Genomic DNA, 17,479 nt, shown 5'->3' on the forward strand with positions numbered 1-17,479 from the left:
GACCTGGGGAAAAGGATTGAGGATGGTGAGGGATAAAAGACTACACGCTGGGCACAGTGTACACTGCTAGGGTGATGAGTGCACCACAATCTCAGAAATCACCACTAAAGAACTTATTCATGTAACCAGACACCACCTGTTCCCCAAAAATCCTATTGAAATAAAAAAATTAAAAATCAAAAACCACAAAATTCAGAATTACAGGAGCTTTCCTCTCCCACAACCACCTAAGATTCTGGACAACTATATTTATAATGGGTATCTCAGATGATTCTCATGAATAAGTCATCCTGATAGATTTTAGGGCCAATTTTTCATAAGAATTCAAGGAAACTGTCTTTGCTGGGCTATGTGAAATTACCCAGAGCTGCTTATCTCTCATTGGCAGGAGGGTTTGGCATCAGTTGCAGGTGACTTATTTCCTTTTACTGTGGATGATAGAGATAATTGAAGAAAAAGCCTTAGTTTGTATTTAAAAAAATAAATAAAATAATGGGTTTGGAAGATATTATTTGCAAGCCTCATGGTAACCTCAAATTTAAAAACGTACAATGGATACACAAAAATTAAAAAGCAAAAAATTAAAACATACCACAAGAAAATCATCACCTTCACTAAAAGGAAGACAGGAAGGAAGGAAATAAGAGAAGACCATAAAACAACCAGGAAACAACAAAATGACAGGAATAAGTCCTTACTTATCAATAAAATAAGTAATTGGTAATCGACTACACTCAACAATCAAAAGGCATAGAGTGGCTGAATGGATTAAAAACAAAACAAAACAAAACAAGACCCAGTGATCTGATGCCTAAAAGAAATACACTTCACCACTTCTATGCAAATGGGAACCTAAAAAGAGCAAGAGTAGCTATACTTATATCACACAAAATAGGTTTCAATACAAAAACTATAAAAAGCGACAAAAAGGTCATTATATAATGATAAAGAGGTCAGTTCAGCAAGAGGATATAACAATTATCAATATATATGCATCCAACATGAGAGCACACAGGTATGTAAAGGAAATATTACTAGAGCTAAAGAGAGAGAGAGAGAGACAACAATAGCTGGAAACTTCAACACCCCACTTCCAGCATTGGGCACATCTCCTAGACAGAAAATCAACAAAGAAACATTGGATTTAATCTGCACTATAGACCAAATGGACCTAATAGATATTTACAGAACGTTTCATCCAATGGCTGCAGAACACACATTCTTTTCCTTAGCACATGGATCATTCACAAGGAAAGACCCTATGTTAGGGTACAAAACAAGTCTTAAAACATTCAAAAAATGGAAATAATATCAAATATCTTCTCTGACCACAATAAAATAAAACTAAAAACCAATAACAGGAGGAATTCTGGAAATTATACAAACACAAGGAAATTACACAGTATGTTCCTGAATGACCAGTGGGTCAATGAAGAGATAAAAAAACGAAAGTTTTGGCCAGGCACAGTGGCTCATGCCTGTAATCCCAGAACTTTGGGAGGCCAAGGTGGGCAGATCATGTGAGGTCAGGAGTTCAAGACCAGCCTGACCAACGTGGAGAAACCCCGTCTCTACTAAAAATACAAAATTAGCTGGGCATGGTGGTGCATGCCTGTAGTCCCAGCTACTTGGGAGGCTGAGGCAGAAGAATCACTTGCACCCAGGAGGCAGAGGTTGCGGTGAGCCGAGATTGTGCCATTGCATTACAGCCTGGGCAGCAAGAGCAAAACTTCGCCTCAAAAAAAAAAAAAAAAAGTTTTTCAAGAAAAAGTTTTCTTGAAACAAATGATAGTGGAAACACAACATACCAAAAACTATGACATACATCAAAAAAGGGAAGTTTATGGGTATCAGTGCCTACATCAAAAAAGAAGAAAAACTTCAAATAAACGATATAATGATGTATCTTGAAGAATTAGAAAAGCAAGAGCAAACCAAACCCAAAATAAGTAGAAGAAAAGAAATAATAAAGATCAGAGCAGAAATAAGTGAGATTGAAATGAAGAAAACAATACAAAAGATCAATGAAACAAAAAGTTGGTTTTCTGAAAAGATAAAATTGACAAACCTTTATCCAGACTAAGAAAAAAAGAAAGAAGGCCCAAATAAGGGAAATCGGAGCCCGGGCCGGTGGCTCACGCCTGTAATCCCAGCACTTTGGGAGGCCAAGGCGGGCAGATCACAAGGTCAGGAGATCGAGACCATCCTGACTAACACGGTGAAACCCCGTCTCTACTAAAAAATACAAAAAAATAAAAATAAAAAAAAGCCGGTCGTGGCAGTGGGCGGGCGCCTGTAGTCCCAGCTACTTGGGAGGCTGAGGCAGGAGAATGGCGTGAACCCGGGAGGCGGGGCTTGCAGTGAGTCGAGATCGTGCCACTGCACTCCAGCCTGAGCGACAGAAGGAGACTCCATCTCAAAAAAAAAAGAAAAAAAAAAAAGAAAATCAGAGGCTGGGCGCGGTGGCTCAGCCTGTAATCCCAGCACTTTGGAAGGTAGAGGCGGGCGGATCACGGTCAGGAGATCAACACAATCCTGGCTAACATGGTGAAACCCCGTCTTTACTAAAACTACAGAAAATTAGCTGGTCGTGGCTGCATGCGCCTGTAGTCCCAGCTACTCGGGAGGCTGAGGCAGGAGAAGGGCATGAACCCAGGAGGCGGAGCTTGCAGTGAACCGAGATTGCGCCACTGCAGTCCAGCCGGGGCGACAGAGCGAGACTCCATCTCAAAAAAAAAAAGAAAAGAAAAGAAAAGAAAATCAGAGATGACAAGGGAGACATTACAACGGATACTGCCAAATTCAAAGGATGATTAGTGGCTATGAGCAATTATATGCTAATAAATTGGAAAGTCTAGAAGAAACAGATAAATTCCTAGATACATACAACCTACCAAGACTGAACCATGAAGAAATCCAAAACCTGAACAGGCAAATAACAAGTGATGAGATTGAAGCCATAATAAAAATTTCGTCAGCAAAGAAAAGCCTGGAACCTGATGGCTTCACTGCTGAATTTTACCAAATATTTTAAAACTGATAATACCAACCCTGCTCAAATGATTCCAAAAAATAGAGGAAGAGGGAATACTTGTAAACCTAATACTTGTAAACTATGCACTATGAGGCCAGTATTACCAGTAAACTAGACAAAGCCTCACCAATAAAAGAAAACTACAGGCCAATATTCCTCATGAACATTGATGCAAAAATCCTCAACAAAATAGTAGAAAACCAAATTCAACAACACATTAAAAAAAGCATTCATCATTACCAAGTGGGGTTTATCCCAGGGATGCAAGGATGTTTCAACATATGCAAATCAGTCAGTGTGATACATCATATCAACAGAATGAAGGACAAAAACTATATGATCATTTAAGTTGATGCTGAAAAAGCATTCGAAAAAATTCAACATCCCTTCATGATAAAAATCCTCCAAAAAAGTGGGTATTAAAGGAACATACCTCAATACAATAAAAGCCATCTAGGACAGACCCACAGCTAATATCATACTTAAAGTAGAAAACTGAAAGCATTTCCTCAAATATCTGGAACAAGACAAGGATGCCCACTTTCACCACTGTTATTCAAGTCCTAACTGGAGCAAACAGACAAGAGAAAGAAATAAAGGACATCAGAATTGAAGGAGGAAGTCAAATTAGCCTTGTTTGCAGATAATACATCTAATATTCAGAAAAACCTAAAGACTCCACTAAGAAAACTATCAGAACTGGTAAACAAATTTAGTAAAGTTTCAGGATACAAAATCATCATACAAAAATCAGTAGCATTTCTATATGCCAACAGTGAACAATCTGAAAAAGAAATCAAGAAAGTAATACCATTTACAATAGCTACAAATAAATTTAACCCATTACCCATTTGCCCTGAGAAATGAGCACTGGCAGCGAGCTGCACTTTTTTTGTCTGAATAGGAAATGGGTTAAATACTTAGGATTTAACCAAATAAGTGAAAGATTTCTACAATGAAAACTATAAAACACTGATGCAAGAAACTGAAGAAGACACCAAAAACTGGTAAGATAGTCCATGTTCATGGACTGGAAGAATCAATATTATTAAAATATCCATACCACCCAAAGCAATCTACAGAGTCAATGCAATCTCTATCAAAATACCAATGATATTCTTCACAGAAATAGAAAAAAAAATCCTAAAATTTATATGAAACCACAAAAGACCTGGAATAGCCAAAGCTATCCTAAGCAAAAAGAACATTCTGTGTCTTTTAGGTGGAGTGTTTAGGACATTTACATTCAATGTTAGTTTTGAGATGCGAGGTACAGGTTGCTAGGGAACTGGGGGAAAGCCGGCAGTTACAGGCCTCACCCTGCTCCCAAGCAGCCCACAGTCCTAAAGCTGATCTTACTCCCACCATGCCCCTGCAACAGCACCAAGTTTATTTCTAAGCAGCTGGTGACCAGGGCTGAGAACTTGCCCCATTGAGAAAGCAAGCAGCCTCCCCATGAGCCTCCCCATTGAGAAAGCAAGCGGACTCACAGTTTTTTGGCATCTCAGGGAGCCTGCAGGGGTGATGAAGTTCCTTCAAAGGGTGTGTGGATTCTTTCGGCTTTCTTGGTATGTTCCTATGGTAGTTCTTGGAGCAAAAGTTCACGATGTGAGTCTCCACATGCTGTTCTGTCCATCTGAGTGGGACGCGCAAGCTAGTCTTTCCTCGTATCCACCATCTTAATCTCCTAAGTCGAATTCTGAATTTCAAACAAATTCTTTAGGAGATTCTTCTGCCTGCTTATATTGGAGAACCCCAAATCCAGTCCTATAGTTTAGATGGAGTAACTGAAATGCCCACAAACCCATTATTTTAAACTGATGACAATGCTGCCTGCATAAACAAACAAGCAAAAAACAAATGAACAAAACCCCCAAAATTAATAAAAACTCTACACTTTAACTTTGTCTTCCTGCATTTTAACTTATTGTTGTTTATATTTTATTATACTGTCTATGTCATGAAAGTTGTTTTAGTTATTTTTGTTGATCAGTTCATCTTTTCGTCTTTCTACTTAAGATATGAGTAGTTTACATACCACAATTACAGTGTTAATGACATTCTGTGTTTTTCTGTGTGCTTACTGTTACCAGAGAGTTTTGTACCTTCAGATAATTTCTTATTGCTTATTAATGTCTTTTCCTTTCAGGCTGCAGAACTCCCTTTAGCATTTCTTGTAGGAAGGGTCTGGTATTGATGAAATCCCTTAGTTTTTGTTTGTCTGGGAAAGTCTTTATTTCTCCTTTATGTTTGAAGGATTTTTTTTTCCAGATATACTATTTTAGAGTAAAAGTTTTTCCCTTTAGCACTTTAAATATGTCATACCACTCTCTCCTGGCCTGTAATGTTTCCACTGAAAAGTCTGCTGCCAGACATATTGCCATTGTATGTTATTTGTTTCTATTCTCTGGCTGCTTTTAGAATCCTTTCTTTTTCCTTGACCTTTGGGAGTTTGATTATTAAATGCCTTGATGTAGTCTTCTTTGGGTTAAATATGCTTGGTTTTCTACAACCTTTTTGTACTTGAATATTGTTATCTTTCTCTAGGTTTTGGAAGTTCTCTGTTATTATCATCTTGAATAAACTTTCTACCCCCATCTCTTTTTCTACCTTCTCTTTAAGGCCAATAACTCTTAGATTTGCCCTTTTGAGGTTATTTTCTAGATCTTGTAGGCATGCTTCATTCTTTTTTATTTTGTCTCCTCCGTGTATTTTCAAATAGCTTCTTCTCAAGCTTACGGATTCTTTTTTCTGCTTGATCAGTTCTGCTATTAAGAGATTCTGATGCATTCTTCAGTAGATCATTGCATTTTTTAACTCCATAATTTCTGCTTATTTTTAATTATTTCAATTTTTGTTAAATTTATGGGATAGGATTCTGAATACATTTTCTGTATTATCTTGAATTTCTTTGAGTTTTCTCTAAACAGATATTTTGAATTCCGTCTGAAAGGTCACATATCTCTGTCTCTCTGGGATTGGTTCCTGGTACCTTATTTAGTTCGTTTGCTGAGGTCCTGGATAGTCTTGATGTTTGTGGATGTTCATCAGTGTATTACTCTGTTTTCATGCTGCTGATAAAGACATACCTAAGACTGGGCAATTTACAAAAGAAAGAGTTTTATTGGACTTAAAGTTCCACATGGCTGGGGAGGGTTCACAATCATGGCAGAAGGCAAGGAGCAGCAGCAAGTCACATCTTATGTGGATGGTGGCAGGCAAAAAAGAGCTTGTGCAGAAAAACTCCCCCTTATAATAACCATCAGATCTGGTGAGACTTACTGTCACAAGAACGGCATGGGAAAGACCTGCCCGCATGATTCAATTACCTCCCACTGGATCCCTCCTACAACATGTGGGAATTCAAGCTGAGATTTTGGTGGGGACACAGCCAAACTGTTATCATTCCCTCCCTGGCCCCTCCCAAATCTGATGTTTTCACATTCCCAAACCAATCATGCCTTCCCAGCAGTCCCCCAAAGTCTTTTTTTTTTTTTTTTTTTTTTTTTTGAGACAGAGTTTCACACTTGTTGCCCAAGCTGGAGTGCAATGGCGCAATCTCGGCTCACTGCAACCTCTGCCTCCCAGGTTAAAGTGATTCTCCTGCCTCAGCCTCCCAAGTAGCTGGGATTAGAGGCATGCGTCACCACGCCCGGCTAATTTTATATTTTTTAGTAGAGACGGAGTTTCTCCACGTTGGTCAGGCTGGTCTCAAACTCCTGACCTCAAGTGATCTGCCCGCCTTGGCCTCCCAAAGTGCTGGGATTACAGGCGTGAGCCACTGCGCCCGGCAGTCCCCCAAAGTCTTAACTCATTTCAGCATTAACTCAAAAGTCCACAGTCCCAAGTCTCTTCTAAGACAAGGCAAGTCCCTTCCACCTATGAGCCTGTTAAATCAAAAGCAAGTTAGTTCCTAATTACAATGGGGTTACAGGCATTGGATAAATATAGCCATTCCAAATAGGAGACATTGGCCAAAACAAAGGGGCTACAGGCCCCATGCAAGTCTGAAATCCAGCAGGGCAGTCAAATCTTAAATCTCCAAAATGATCTCCTTTAACTCCATGTCTCACATGCAGGTCACACTGATGCAAGAGATGGGTTCCTATGGTCTTGGGCAGCTCCATCCCTGTGGCTTTGCAGGGTTCAGCCTCCCTCCTGGCTGCTTTCATGGGCTGGCATTAAGTGTCTGTGGCTTTTCCAGGCACATGCTGCAAGCTGTCAGTGGATCTACCATTTGGGGGTCTGGAGGACAGCGGCCCTATTTTCACAACTTCACTAGGTGCTGCCCCAGTAGAGACTCTGTGTGGGGGCTTCGACCCCACATTTCCCTTCTGCACTGCCCTAACAGTGGTTCTCTATGAGGGCCCTGTCCCTGCTGCAAACTTCTGTCTGGGTATCCAGGTCTTTCCATACATCTTCTGAAATCTAGGTGGAGGTTCCCAAATCTCAGTTCTTTGACTTCTGCGCACCCGTAGGCTCAACACCATGTGGAAGCTGCCAAGGCTTAGGGCTTCCACCCTCTGAAGCAACAGCCTGAGCTGTACCTTAGCCCCTTTTAGTCACGGCTGAAGTGGCTGGGACACACAGCACCAAGTCCCTAGACCGCACACAGCACGGGACTCTGGGCCTGGCCCCTGAAACCATTTTCTCCTAGGCCTCTGGGCCTGTGATGGGAGGGGCTGCTGTGAAGACCTCTGACATGCCCTGGAGGCATTTTCCCCATTGTCTTGGGGATTAACATTAGGCTTCTCCTCACTTGTGCAAATTTCTGCAGCCAGCTTCAATCTGTCCTCAGAAAATGGGTTTTTCTTTTCTATCACATTGCCAGGCTGCAAATTTTCTGAACTTTTATGCTCTGCTTCCCTTATAAAACTGAGTGCCTTTAACAGCACCCAAGTCACCTCTTGAATGCTTTGCTGCTTAGAAATTTCTTCTGCCAGATACCCTAAATCATCTCTCTCAAATTCAAAGTTCCAAAAATCTCTAGGGCAGGGGCGAAATGCTGCCAGTCTCTGCTAAAACATAACAAGAGTCATTTTTGCCCCAGTTCCCGACAAGTTCCCCATCTCCATCTGAGACCACCTCAGCCTGGACCTTATTGTCCATATCACTATTAGGCTTTTGGTCAAAGCCATTCAACAAGTCTCTGAGGAAGTTCCAAACTTTCCCACATTTTCCTGTCTTCTGAGACCTTCAAACTGTTCCAACCTCTGCCTGTTAGGTCCAAAGTTGCTTCCATATTTTTTTTGGTATCTTTTCAGCAATGCCTCACTCTACTGGTACCAATTTACTGTATTAGTTTATTTTCATGCTGCTGATAAAGACATACATGAGACTGGGCAATTTACAAAAGAAAGAGGTTTATTGGACTTACAGTTCCACGTGCCTGGGGAGGGGTGACAATCATCGCAGAAGGCGAGGAGCAGCAAGTCACATCTTACATGGATGGCAGCAGGCAAAGAAAAGAGCTTGTGGGGGAAAACTCCTCCTTATCATAACCATCAGATCTCATGAGACTTACTCACTATCATGAGAACAGTATGGGAAAGACCTGCCCCTATGATTCAGTTACCTTCCACCAGGTCCCTCCTACAACATGTGGGAATTCAAGATGAGATTTAGGTGGGAACACAGCCAAACCATATCAATCAGTGTCTAGGCACTGAAGAGTTAGCTATTTATTGTGATCTTTGCAGTCTGGGCTTGTTTGTACCCATCCTTCTTGGAAAGGCTTTCCAGGTATTTGAAGGGACTTGAGTGTTGTGATCTAAGTTTTTGGTCAGCGCAGCCATAGCTGCATTAGGGGGTACCTCAAGCCCAGTAACACTGTGGCTCTTGCAGACTCATAGAGGTATAACCTTGTGGTCTTGGATAAAATCTAGAAGAATTCTCTAGATTACCAGGTAGAGACTCTTCTTCTCTTCCCTTAAATTCTCCCAAAGAGTTTCTCTCTCTGTGCTGAGATACCTGGAGCTGGGGAAGGGGTGACACAAGTATCCCTGTGGCCACCACCACTGGGATTGCACTGGGTCAAACTTGAAGCCAGCACACCACTGGGTCTTGCCCTAGGCCTGCTGTAACCACTACCTGGCTACTGCCTATGTTTGCTGAAGGCCCTAGGGCTCTACACTCAGCAGGTGGTGAAGCCAGTCAAACTTGTATACTCCCCTTAAGAGCGGTGAGTTCCCTTGGGCCTTGGATGGGTCCAAAGATGCTGTCCAGGGTTCAGAGCCTTAGAAATCTACCTGGTGCTCTATTCTACTGTGGCTGAGCTGGCACCAAATCCACTGGAACGAGTCTTTTCCACTCTTCCCTCTCCTTTCCCCAGCAGGCAGAGGAGTCTCTCCTCATGCACCACTACAGGCCCATGGGGAGCAGTGCTAGGATACTGCGGATGTTCATTTAAGGCCCAAGGCTGTTCAGTCAGCTTGTGTTGAATGCTCTCAAGCCTGGGACTCACCCTTCAGGGCAGTGGGTTCCCCTCTGGCCCAGGATAGGTCTAGAGATGCTGTTCAAGAACTGAAGTTTGGAATCAGGGACCCCAAGAGCCTGGTTGGTGCTCTTCCCCACTGTAGCGAAGCTGGTACCTAAGCTCCAGACAGAGTCCTCTTTATTCTTTCCTCTGCTTTTCTCAAGCAGAAGGGTTCTCTCCTCGTAGCGACCACAGCTGTGAATGTGCGGGGTCACAACTGAAGCCAGCATGTCCGAGTCTAACCCAAGGCCCTCAGTATGTACTACCTGATTACCACTGCTGATTATTCAGGGCTCAAGGGCTCTTTAGTCAGCAGATGATAAATCCTATCAGGAATAGGACCTTCCCTTCAAGGTAGCGGGCTCCCTTCTGGCCTAGGGTGTGTCTAGAAATGTTGTTTAGGAGCTAGGCCCTAGAATGGGGGCTTCATGACTCTGCCCAGTGCCCTATCTTTCTGTAGCTGTGCTCATATCCAAGTTGCAAAACAAAGTCTTCTTTACTCTTTCCTCTCCTCTCCTCAAGCAGAAGGAAGGGGTCACTTTTGGAGCTGTGAGCTGTACTACCTAGTTTTGGGGGAGAGGTGATGCAAGCACTCCCTTAGCCACCTCAGCTGGTGTCTCATTAGGTCGTGTGCTCCTCAGGTCCTTTGGCTCTGAGCCCAGCACAGCACTAGAAGTCATCTAGGAGTTGTACTCTTTATGGCCTAGACAGTCTTTCAAGTTAATTTAGGGCTCAGAGCACGTTAGCCTGCGGTGACAAGGCTTGCTGAAATTCAAGTTCTGACCAGTGGAGTGGGCGATTCCCCTCTGGCTAGGGTTGATCTAAATCATCCCTCCTTGGGCCCTGGCTGAGTTCTGCCCAGTGTTGGCAGTACTGCATTCCAGTGCAAAATCTCACAATCAATGCACTCTCCCTTCCTTAAGCACACAGATTCTCTCTCTGTGCCACACAGCTGACCACTGGCAGGGGAATGGGGAGGGATGGTGTTGGCAATTCAAAACTGTCTTTCCTACCCTCTCCAGTGCCTCTTTGAGTGATATGAAGTTAAAACCAGGTACTGTGAAATTAGTTGGGCATAATGGTGGGTGCCTGTAATCCTAGCTACTCAGGAGGCTGAGGCACAAGAATTGCTTGAACTTGGCAGGTGAAGGTTGCAGTGAGCTGAGATTGCAGCACTGCACTCCAGTCTGGGTGACAGAGTAAGACTCTGTCTCAAAACAAAAACATAAAACAGGTAGTGTGATTGCTCACCTGATTTTTTTTTTTTTTTTTAGACAGAGTCTTGCTCTGTTGTCCACGCTGGAATGCAGTGGCGTAATCTTGGCTCACCGCAACCTCCGCCTCCCCAGTTCAAGTGATTCTCATGCCTCGGCCTCCTGAGTAGCTGGGATTTATAGGCACATGCCACCACACCCGGCTAATTTTTGTATTTTTTTTTTTTAGTAGAGACGAGGTCTCACTATGTTGGCCAGGCTGGTCTCAAAACTCCTGACCTCAAGTGATCCGCCCACCTTGGCATCCCAAAGTTCTGGGATTACAGGTGTGAGCCACCACACCCGGCTGATTTTTGGTTCTTATGAAGGTGCTTTTTTGTGTAAATAGTTGTTAAATTTGGTGTTCCTGTGGGGGATGACAATCAGTAAACGCTTCTATTCTGCAACCTTGGTCTGCCTCCTCCCCTGCTTGCATTTTTTCTGATAAGAAATTTGCATGTATGTAGTTTTTTTCTAACTACTTTTAAGATTTTTCCCTTGGCTGGGTGCGTTGGCTCACGCCTGTAATCCCAGCACTTTGGGAGGCCAAGATGGGTGGATCCCCTGAAATCAGGAGTTCGAGACTAGCCTGACCAACATGGTGAAACCCCGTCTCTACTAAAAATACAAAAATTAGCCGGGTGTGGTGGCGCGTGCCTGTAATCCCAGCTACTCTGGAGGCTGAGGCAGGAGAATTGATTGAACCCAAGAAGTGGAGGTTGCAGTGAGCGGAGATCGCACCATTGCACTCTAGCCTGGGCAACAAGAGCAAAACTCTGTCTCAAAAAAAAAAAAAAATTGGGAGGCCGAGGCGGGCAGATCACGAGGTCAGGAGATCGAAACCATCCTGGCTAACACGGTGAAACCCTGTCTATACTAAAAATACAAAAAATTAGCCGGGCGCGGTAGTGGGCACCTGTAGTCCCAGCTACTGGGGCGGCTGAGGCAGGAGAATGGCACGAACCTGGGAGGCGGAGCTTGCAGTGAGCCGAGATCACGCCACTGCACTCCAGCCTGGGTGACAGAGCGAGACTCTGTTTAAAAAAAAAAAAAAGATTTTTCTCTTTATCACCAGTTTTGAGCACATTGACTATGATATGTGTTGGTGTTGTTTTCTTCATGTTGGGATTCATGAAGCTTCTTGTATCTGTGACTTTGTAGTTTTATCAAATTTATAAATTTTATAAAATTCACCCAAATTTTAGCCATTACTTCTTCAAATATTTTTATGTCCCCATCTCTCCTACCTTTTGGGAACTCCAGTTGCATGTATATTAGGCTGCTTACAACTCATGGATGCTCTTCTCTGTGTTTCATCTTGGATATTTTGTGTTGATGTCTTCAAGTTCACTCATCTTTTCTTCTGCAGTATCTACTTTGCCGTTAATCCCAGCAATGTATTTTTATCTCAGATTTTATAGTTTTAATCTCTAGAAGTTTGATAAGAGTCTTCAAAAAATATCTTTCATGTATTTACTTAACTTTTGAACATATATAATATAGTTGTAATGATTATTTTTTATGTCATTGACTGTGAATTCTAACAGATGGATCAGTTCTGGGTCAGTTTATCTTGACTGATCTTTCTCCTCACCAAGGGTCAGTTTTCCTGTTTCTTGGTATCTATCTTTGATTGTATGCCAGACATTGTCAATTTCAGCATATTGAGTGCTGGGCATTTTTACATTCCTACTAATATTTTTGAGCTTTATTTTGGGATGTAGTTGAGTTTATTGGAAACAGCCCTCTGTTACATACCTGCCCTTCGTTCATAAACTTATATAGTCACTCTCTGCTTCTCCATATTGGGCCACTGGGTGCACCTTCCAAGATGGTAGCTTTTCTTGGTTATTCAGAATCCCTTACAGGTAAGAACTCAGGTTTTAACAGGAAGATCTTTCCTTTTCTTCACTGAGCTTTCTCCTCCTAAAACACTACAACTACTGACCAATAGAAGAGAAGCTCCTTTGTAGGTCATTTATTCTTTCAGAGTTTCTCTTTTGTTTCTAGGCATCAGCCTTCTTCCATTCCAGGTAGACTGCTATGTTTCTTTCTCTTTCTTTTCCCACACCTTCTTTCCTTCCCCTCACCTCACCCCACCACCGCCCCCCTTTATTTTTTAGAGACAGGGTCTGATTCTGTCACCCAGGCTGGAGTGCAGTGGCGTGATCATTGTTCACCACAGCCTTGAACTCCTGGGCCCAAGCAATCCTGTTGCCTCAGCCTCCCAAGTAGCTGGGACCACAGATGGTGCCACAATGCCTGGCTAATTTAAAACAAATTTTGTAGAGATAGAATCTCACTATGTTGTGCAGGCTTGTCCTGTCTCCAGCTCCCAAAGTGCTAGGATTACTAGCATGAGCCAGGATGCCCAGCCCTCTTCTTTCTTTTAAAACTTTAATTATGGAAAATTTTAAGCGTGCAAAGAAAAATAGACTGATACAATGAATTCCCATGTATCCATCCACAATCATCAACTTGTAAAACTTCAGTTTTCTAATGCTTCTGATTTGGGAACACTGGGAACTTGTTTTCAAGTTACATTAGAAATCATGCAGTAGGGAATGCACAACTTTTTTTATCTTGTCAGTCATATGGAAGGGACGCTTTCCCTTTGAGGTGGTTTATTATCCAGGTGAGGATGCATACGATATGAAAACTATCAGTCTCCAGTGATTTCCAGGGGTTACCACAGGCATCTCAAATATTCTTTTACTTTGTATTTTTTGTGTTTTGAGACAGGGTCTGGCTCTGTTGCTCAGGCTGAAATGCAATGGTGTGATCACGGCTTACTGCAGCCTCCAACTCCTCTGCTCAAACGATCCTCCCACCTCAGCCTCCCCAGAAGCTGGGACTACAGGGGCATGCCACCATGCCCAGCTAATTTTTGTGGGGTTTTTTTTTTGTGGAGATAGGGCCTTGCCATGTTACCCAGGCTGTTCTCAAACTCCTGGGCTCAAGCAGTCCTCCTGCCTCTGCCTCCCAAAGTGCTGGGATTACAGGCATGAGCCACTTTGTGTTTTATGCATAGTCCTTAAGTGCAGCCTGTAGCTTTCACTGTGTTTTGTTTATACTCTCTAGATGATTTGGGCCATATTTCATCTTTCATCTAGGTTTATATTCCTTGAATGTAATCACTAAGTTTTTTTCCTGTATACACACATACACTTATATGCCTATATATACATGAATATATACGTATACATACCTAGAATGCTCTTTCTATATCAACTATGCCAAGTGAATAAAAGCAAACTAGCATCATGTAGTAAGAGGCACCTGATAGAATCCTGGCATCACACCTCACTAGTTGGTGCAGCTTTTTAAAGGTTGCTAAAACTCTATGAGATTCAGTATTGTCATCTGCAAATTGAATAACACTACCTTCAAGATGATTGTTTGGATTAGAAATAATGCAAGTAGAGTGCTTATCACAGTGCCTGATGCACAGTACTAACGCAATAAGTGATATCTATTATGATTATGACAGATGCAGCATTGCTGTGAAAAGGATAGCAAAGAGTATTATCCCCAGGTCGGCTGACTAAACAGGCTCCGGATGGACTAAAACACTGACGAAAGTCACGTAAAGAGCCAGTGACAGATCTATAACCAAACTCATAAATGTCACATCCTAGACCCAGAGTCTCCTGTAAACATACCAAAATCTAATTTCTGCTTATATCTTTATGGGAGAATTCTATTTTCTAACAGAAATAAGACATTCTCAGCAGCTCATTTCAAGGGGATTTACTAAATTTATGATTCCAGGCATATAGTTTCAGGCTTTGTGCCTGAAACCATGTCCTTACATTTACAATCATATTTGAGGTGAGCCTATCAGACCAGTACAACCAAAACACCAGCTGTGATATTTTTACTGAGTTTATTTGTAGACAGGTTGGTTCTCAGAATCGTAGACTATTAGTGGACAGTTTGTAAACAGATGGAGAGAAGTGCTTCAAGAATTCACACAGAGAAAGGAATGTTAGGAGCCCTTCCTCCTTCTGTCTTTCTGTTCCTCTCTCTCTCACACACACATATTCCTTTTGATCTTTTACCCTCTAGGTTCTGGAGAGGTATACACACTTCTGTATTTTCTCCCCAAAGTGGAGAAATGGTTTTTCTCAGCTGTTTCCCTCCATATTTTACTGACTGATAAAAATATGTCATAGTTACAGCTATCATCTGCAGCTATTTAAAGGATGTAAGTTCTGCCTAAAAGGTAAAGGCAACTTCAAGCAAAAACAGTGAAAATTGTATAGAAGAAGCTTCCCTTTCTGTTCTAAACAGTTAGGTGAGAAAAGCGCTATTTGAAGCGGTTCTGGAAGGATGTACCTGTAACTATGGCCTACTGATATGACATCCCTTCTCACTCTGGATCACAATGTTACATTCTCCTTTTAGCAGGGATCGCCATAAGCAAGTTAGATCAAATCATGATGAATTACCTAGGAAAGAGTAAAAAACAGAGGCCATTGGAAACCCTTTCCTTCTTTAAAAACCCTTTCCTTCTTTATTGTTTCTTTAAAAAGAAACAATAAATCTTCTTTCTCTTAATCTTTTTGAAAACCCTATTCTTTCATTAAGCACAGGGCATGTTTGTGTCTCTACACCATTCCTGGTGCTTTACACATAGCAGGCACTCAGTAAATAATTATTTTTGATGCTGAATATATAAGTTGATACTAGTTGAGAATCTAGTATGTGACCTAACCTTGTTAGGTATGATATGATACGAGCTACTAAAGAGGTATAAGTCAAAAATCCTGGCTTTTATTAAGCTTGCACTCTAAATGGGGCCATAGCAATTTTGAGAAGAGTTTGGCTATTATTTCCTTGAGTGTTTTGGCTACCCCATTCTATTTCACTCCTTTTGGTACTCCAATTGTACTTACGTTAAATCTTTTGATAAGGGCCCACAGGTTCCTGAAGCTCTGTCAATTTTTTTTCCCATCTTTTTTCGCTCTGATCTTTAAATTAGATAATTTATCTATCTGTTAATCAATCTTCAAGTTCACTGACGCTTTCTTCTATATCTTTATTCTGCTGTTAAGCCCATTCAGTAATTTTTTTTTGGGGGGTGGGGGGGAACAGAGTCTTGCTTTGTCATGCATGCTGGAGTGCAGTGGCACAATCATAGCTCATTATAGCCTCGAGCTCCTGGGCTCAAGCAATGCTACTGCCTCAGCCTCCTGAATAGGACTGCAAGAACTACAGACATGTGCCACCATGCCCGGCTAATTTTTCAAAATTTGTTGTAGAGACTAGGTTTCTCTATGTCACCCAGACTAGTCTCAAACACCTGGCTTCAAGCAATCCTCCTGCCCCGTCTTTCCAAAATGCTTGGATTATAGGCATGAGCCATCATGCCTGGCCCCTATCTAGTAATTTTTAAATTTTAGATGTGTTTTTCAGTTCTATAATTTCTATTTAGTTATTTTTTAGAGTTTCTATTTACCTGCTGACAATTCCTATTTTTTCATTTATTAACAAGTGTATTTCCCAAGCGCATTTTCCTTTAAGTCCTTGAGCTTAGTTGTAATAATTGTTTCATATAACCCTGTCTACTAATTCCAATGTATGAATCATTTCAGGGTTGATCTTCATTGATTTTATTCTTTTTCTTGATATGAGTAGTGTCTTCCTGTTTCTTTGAATATTGAATAATTTTGAACTGTATCCTGAACATTGTCAATACATTGCAGAGATTCTGAGTTCTGCTATGTTTCTCTGAAGAGTATTTTTCTTCTTTTTTTTAATGGTAGGCAGTTAACTTGGCTGAATTCAAATGCTAAACTTTATCTTCCCTGCTGTGAGTGGTAGCTCACATTTCTGCTCAGGTCTTTTATTCTTCAAGTCTGACTCACACACATGTGGTTCCAGCATCAGCTGGACAGTTGGTCAGAATTTATATACACAATTTGGGGCTCCCCCTTTCTGGCCCTCTCCCTTTCAGGATTTCCCCCACTTTGCTTTCCAGCATCTATATTTCCCTCACATCCCATCCTTTGGTTCACACCAGTAAGACTTTGGTTTTTTTTTCTGACTTTTAGCTGCCCTGCATAGTGCCATTTGGGGGCTTTCCCTCAGGATAAAAGCCGTAAAAATGGGATGCTCCCTTAGTGCTTTTCCCCTCTTTCAAATGTCCACTCCCCTCCAGCATCTACCTACTTTCGGTTGCTCTTTTGTGACTTTAGAAAGATGTTTTTATTTTCTGTCCAGAGCTCACTGTTGTTATCTGTGAGAACATTGGTCTGATAGGAGCTATTAATACATGGCCATGACTGGGAGCAGGTGTCTTAGTCCATTTGGGCTGCTGTAACAAAACACCATAGACTGGGCAGCTTGTAAACAACAAACATTGATTTTTCGGTGCTGGAGGCTGGGAAGTCCAAAGTCAATATGCCAGCAGCTTTGGTGTCTTGTGAGAGCCTGATTTCTTGTAGATGGTGTCTTCTTGCTGGGTCCTCACGTGTTGAAAGGGGGCAAGGCAGTTCTTGGCACTAATCCCATTGATGAGGACCCCACCCTCATGACCTAATTGCCTAATCGTCACACTAGGGATTAAGTTTTCAACATATGTATTTCAGTGGGACACAAACATTCAGATCATAGCAATAGGTATGTAGGACCAAAAAAATAGGGACAAGTAAGCAAGTTACTATCAAAGACTCAGACAAAAGCATTTAGAAGAGAAAGCAACTTTATTTGTAG

The 17,479-nt window shown here is 41.8% G+C and overlaps 1 protein-coding gene across 13 annotated transcripts in view, besides 2 other annotated features; it reads left to right on the forward strand.

Moving 5' to 3' along the window:
• CNIH3 (cornichon family AMPA receptor auxiliary protein 3) overlaps positions 1-17,479 on the forward strand; it is a 305,915-nt gene that overhangs the window by 37,987 nt on the left and 250,449 nt on the right. The gene's annotated exons all lie outside the window — the stretch shown is intronic.
• Positions 1,364-1,533: a silencer, noted in NCBI's record as "fragment chr1:224661692-224661861 (GRCh37/hg19 assembly coordinates)". NCBI's record gives its function as "represses an EF-1alpha promoter that drives an FKBP-Casp9 reporter gene in an ReSE screen in K562 erythroleukemia cells {active_cell/tissue: K562}" and the evidence as "EXISTENCE:reporter gene assay evidence [ECO:0000049][PMID:32094911]".
• Positions 7,451-7,977: an enhancer, noted in NCBI's record as "H3K27ac-H3K4me1 hESC enhancer chr1:224667779-224668305 (GRCh37/hg19 assembly coordinates)". NCBI's record gives its function as "activates a minimal SCP1, AML or CMV promoter by ChIP-STARR-seq in naive H9 embryonic stem cells {active_cell/tissue: H9 hESC(naive)}" and the evidence as "EXISTENCE:reporter gene assay evidence [ECO:0000049][PMID:30033119]".

This window comes from Homo sapiens, chromosome 1 (genome assembly GCF_000001405.40).
Source record: "Homo sapiens chromosome 1, GRCh38.p14 Primary Assembly".
In the NCBI taxonomy this organism is placed as follows: Eukaryota; Metazoa; Chordata; class Mammalia; order Primates; family Hominidae; genus Homo; species Homo sapiens.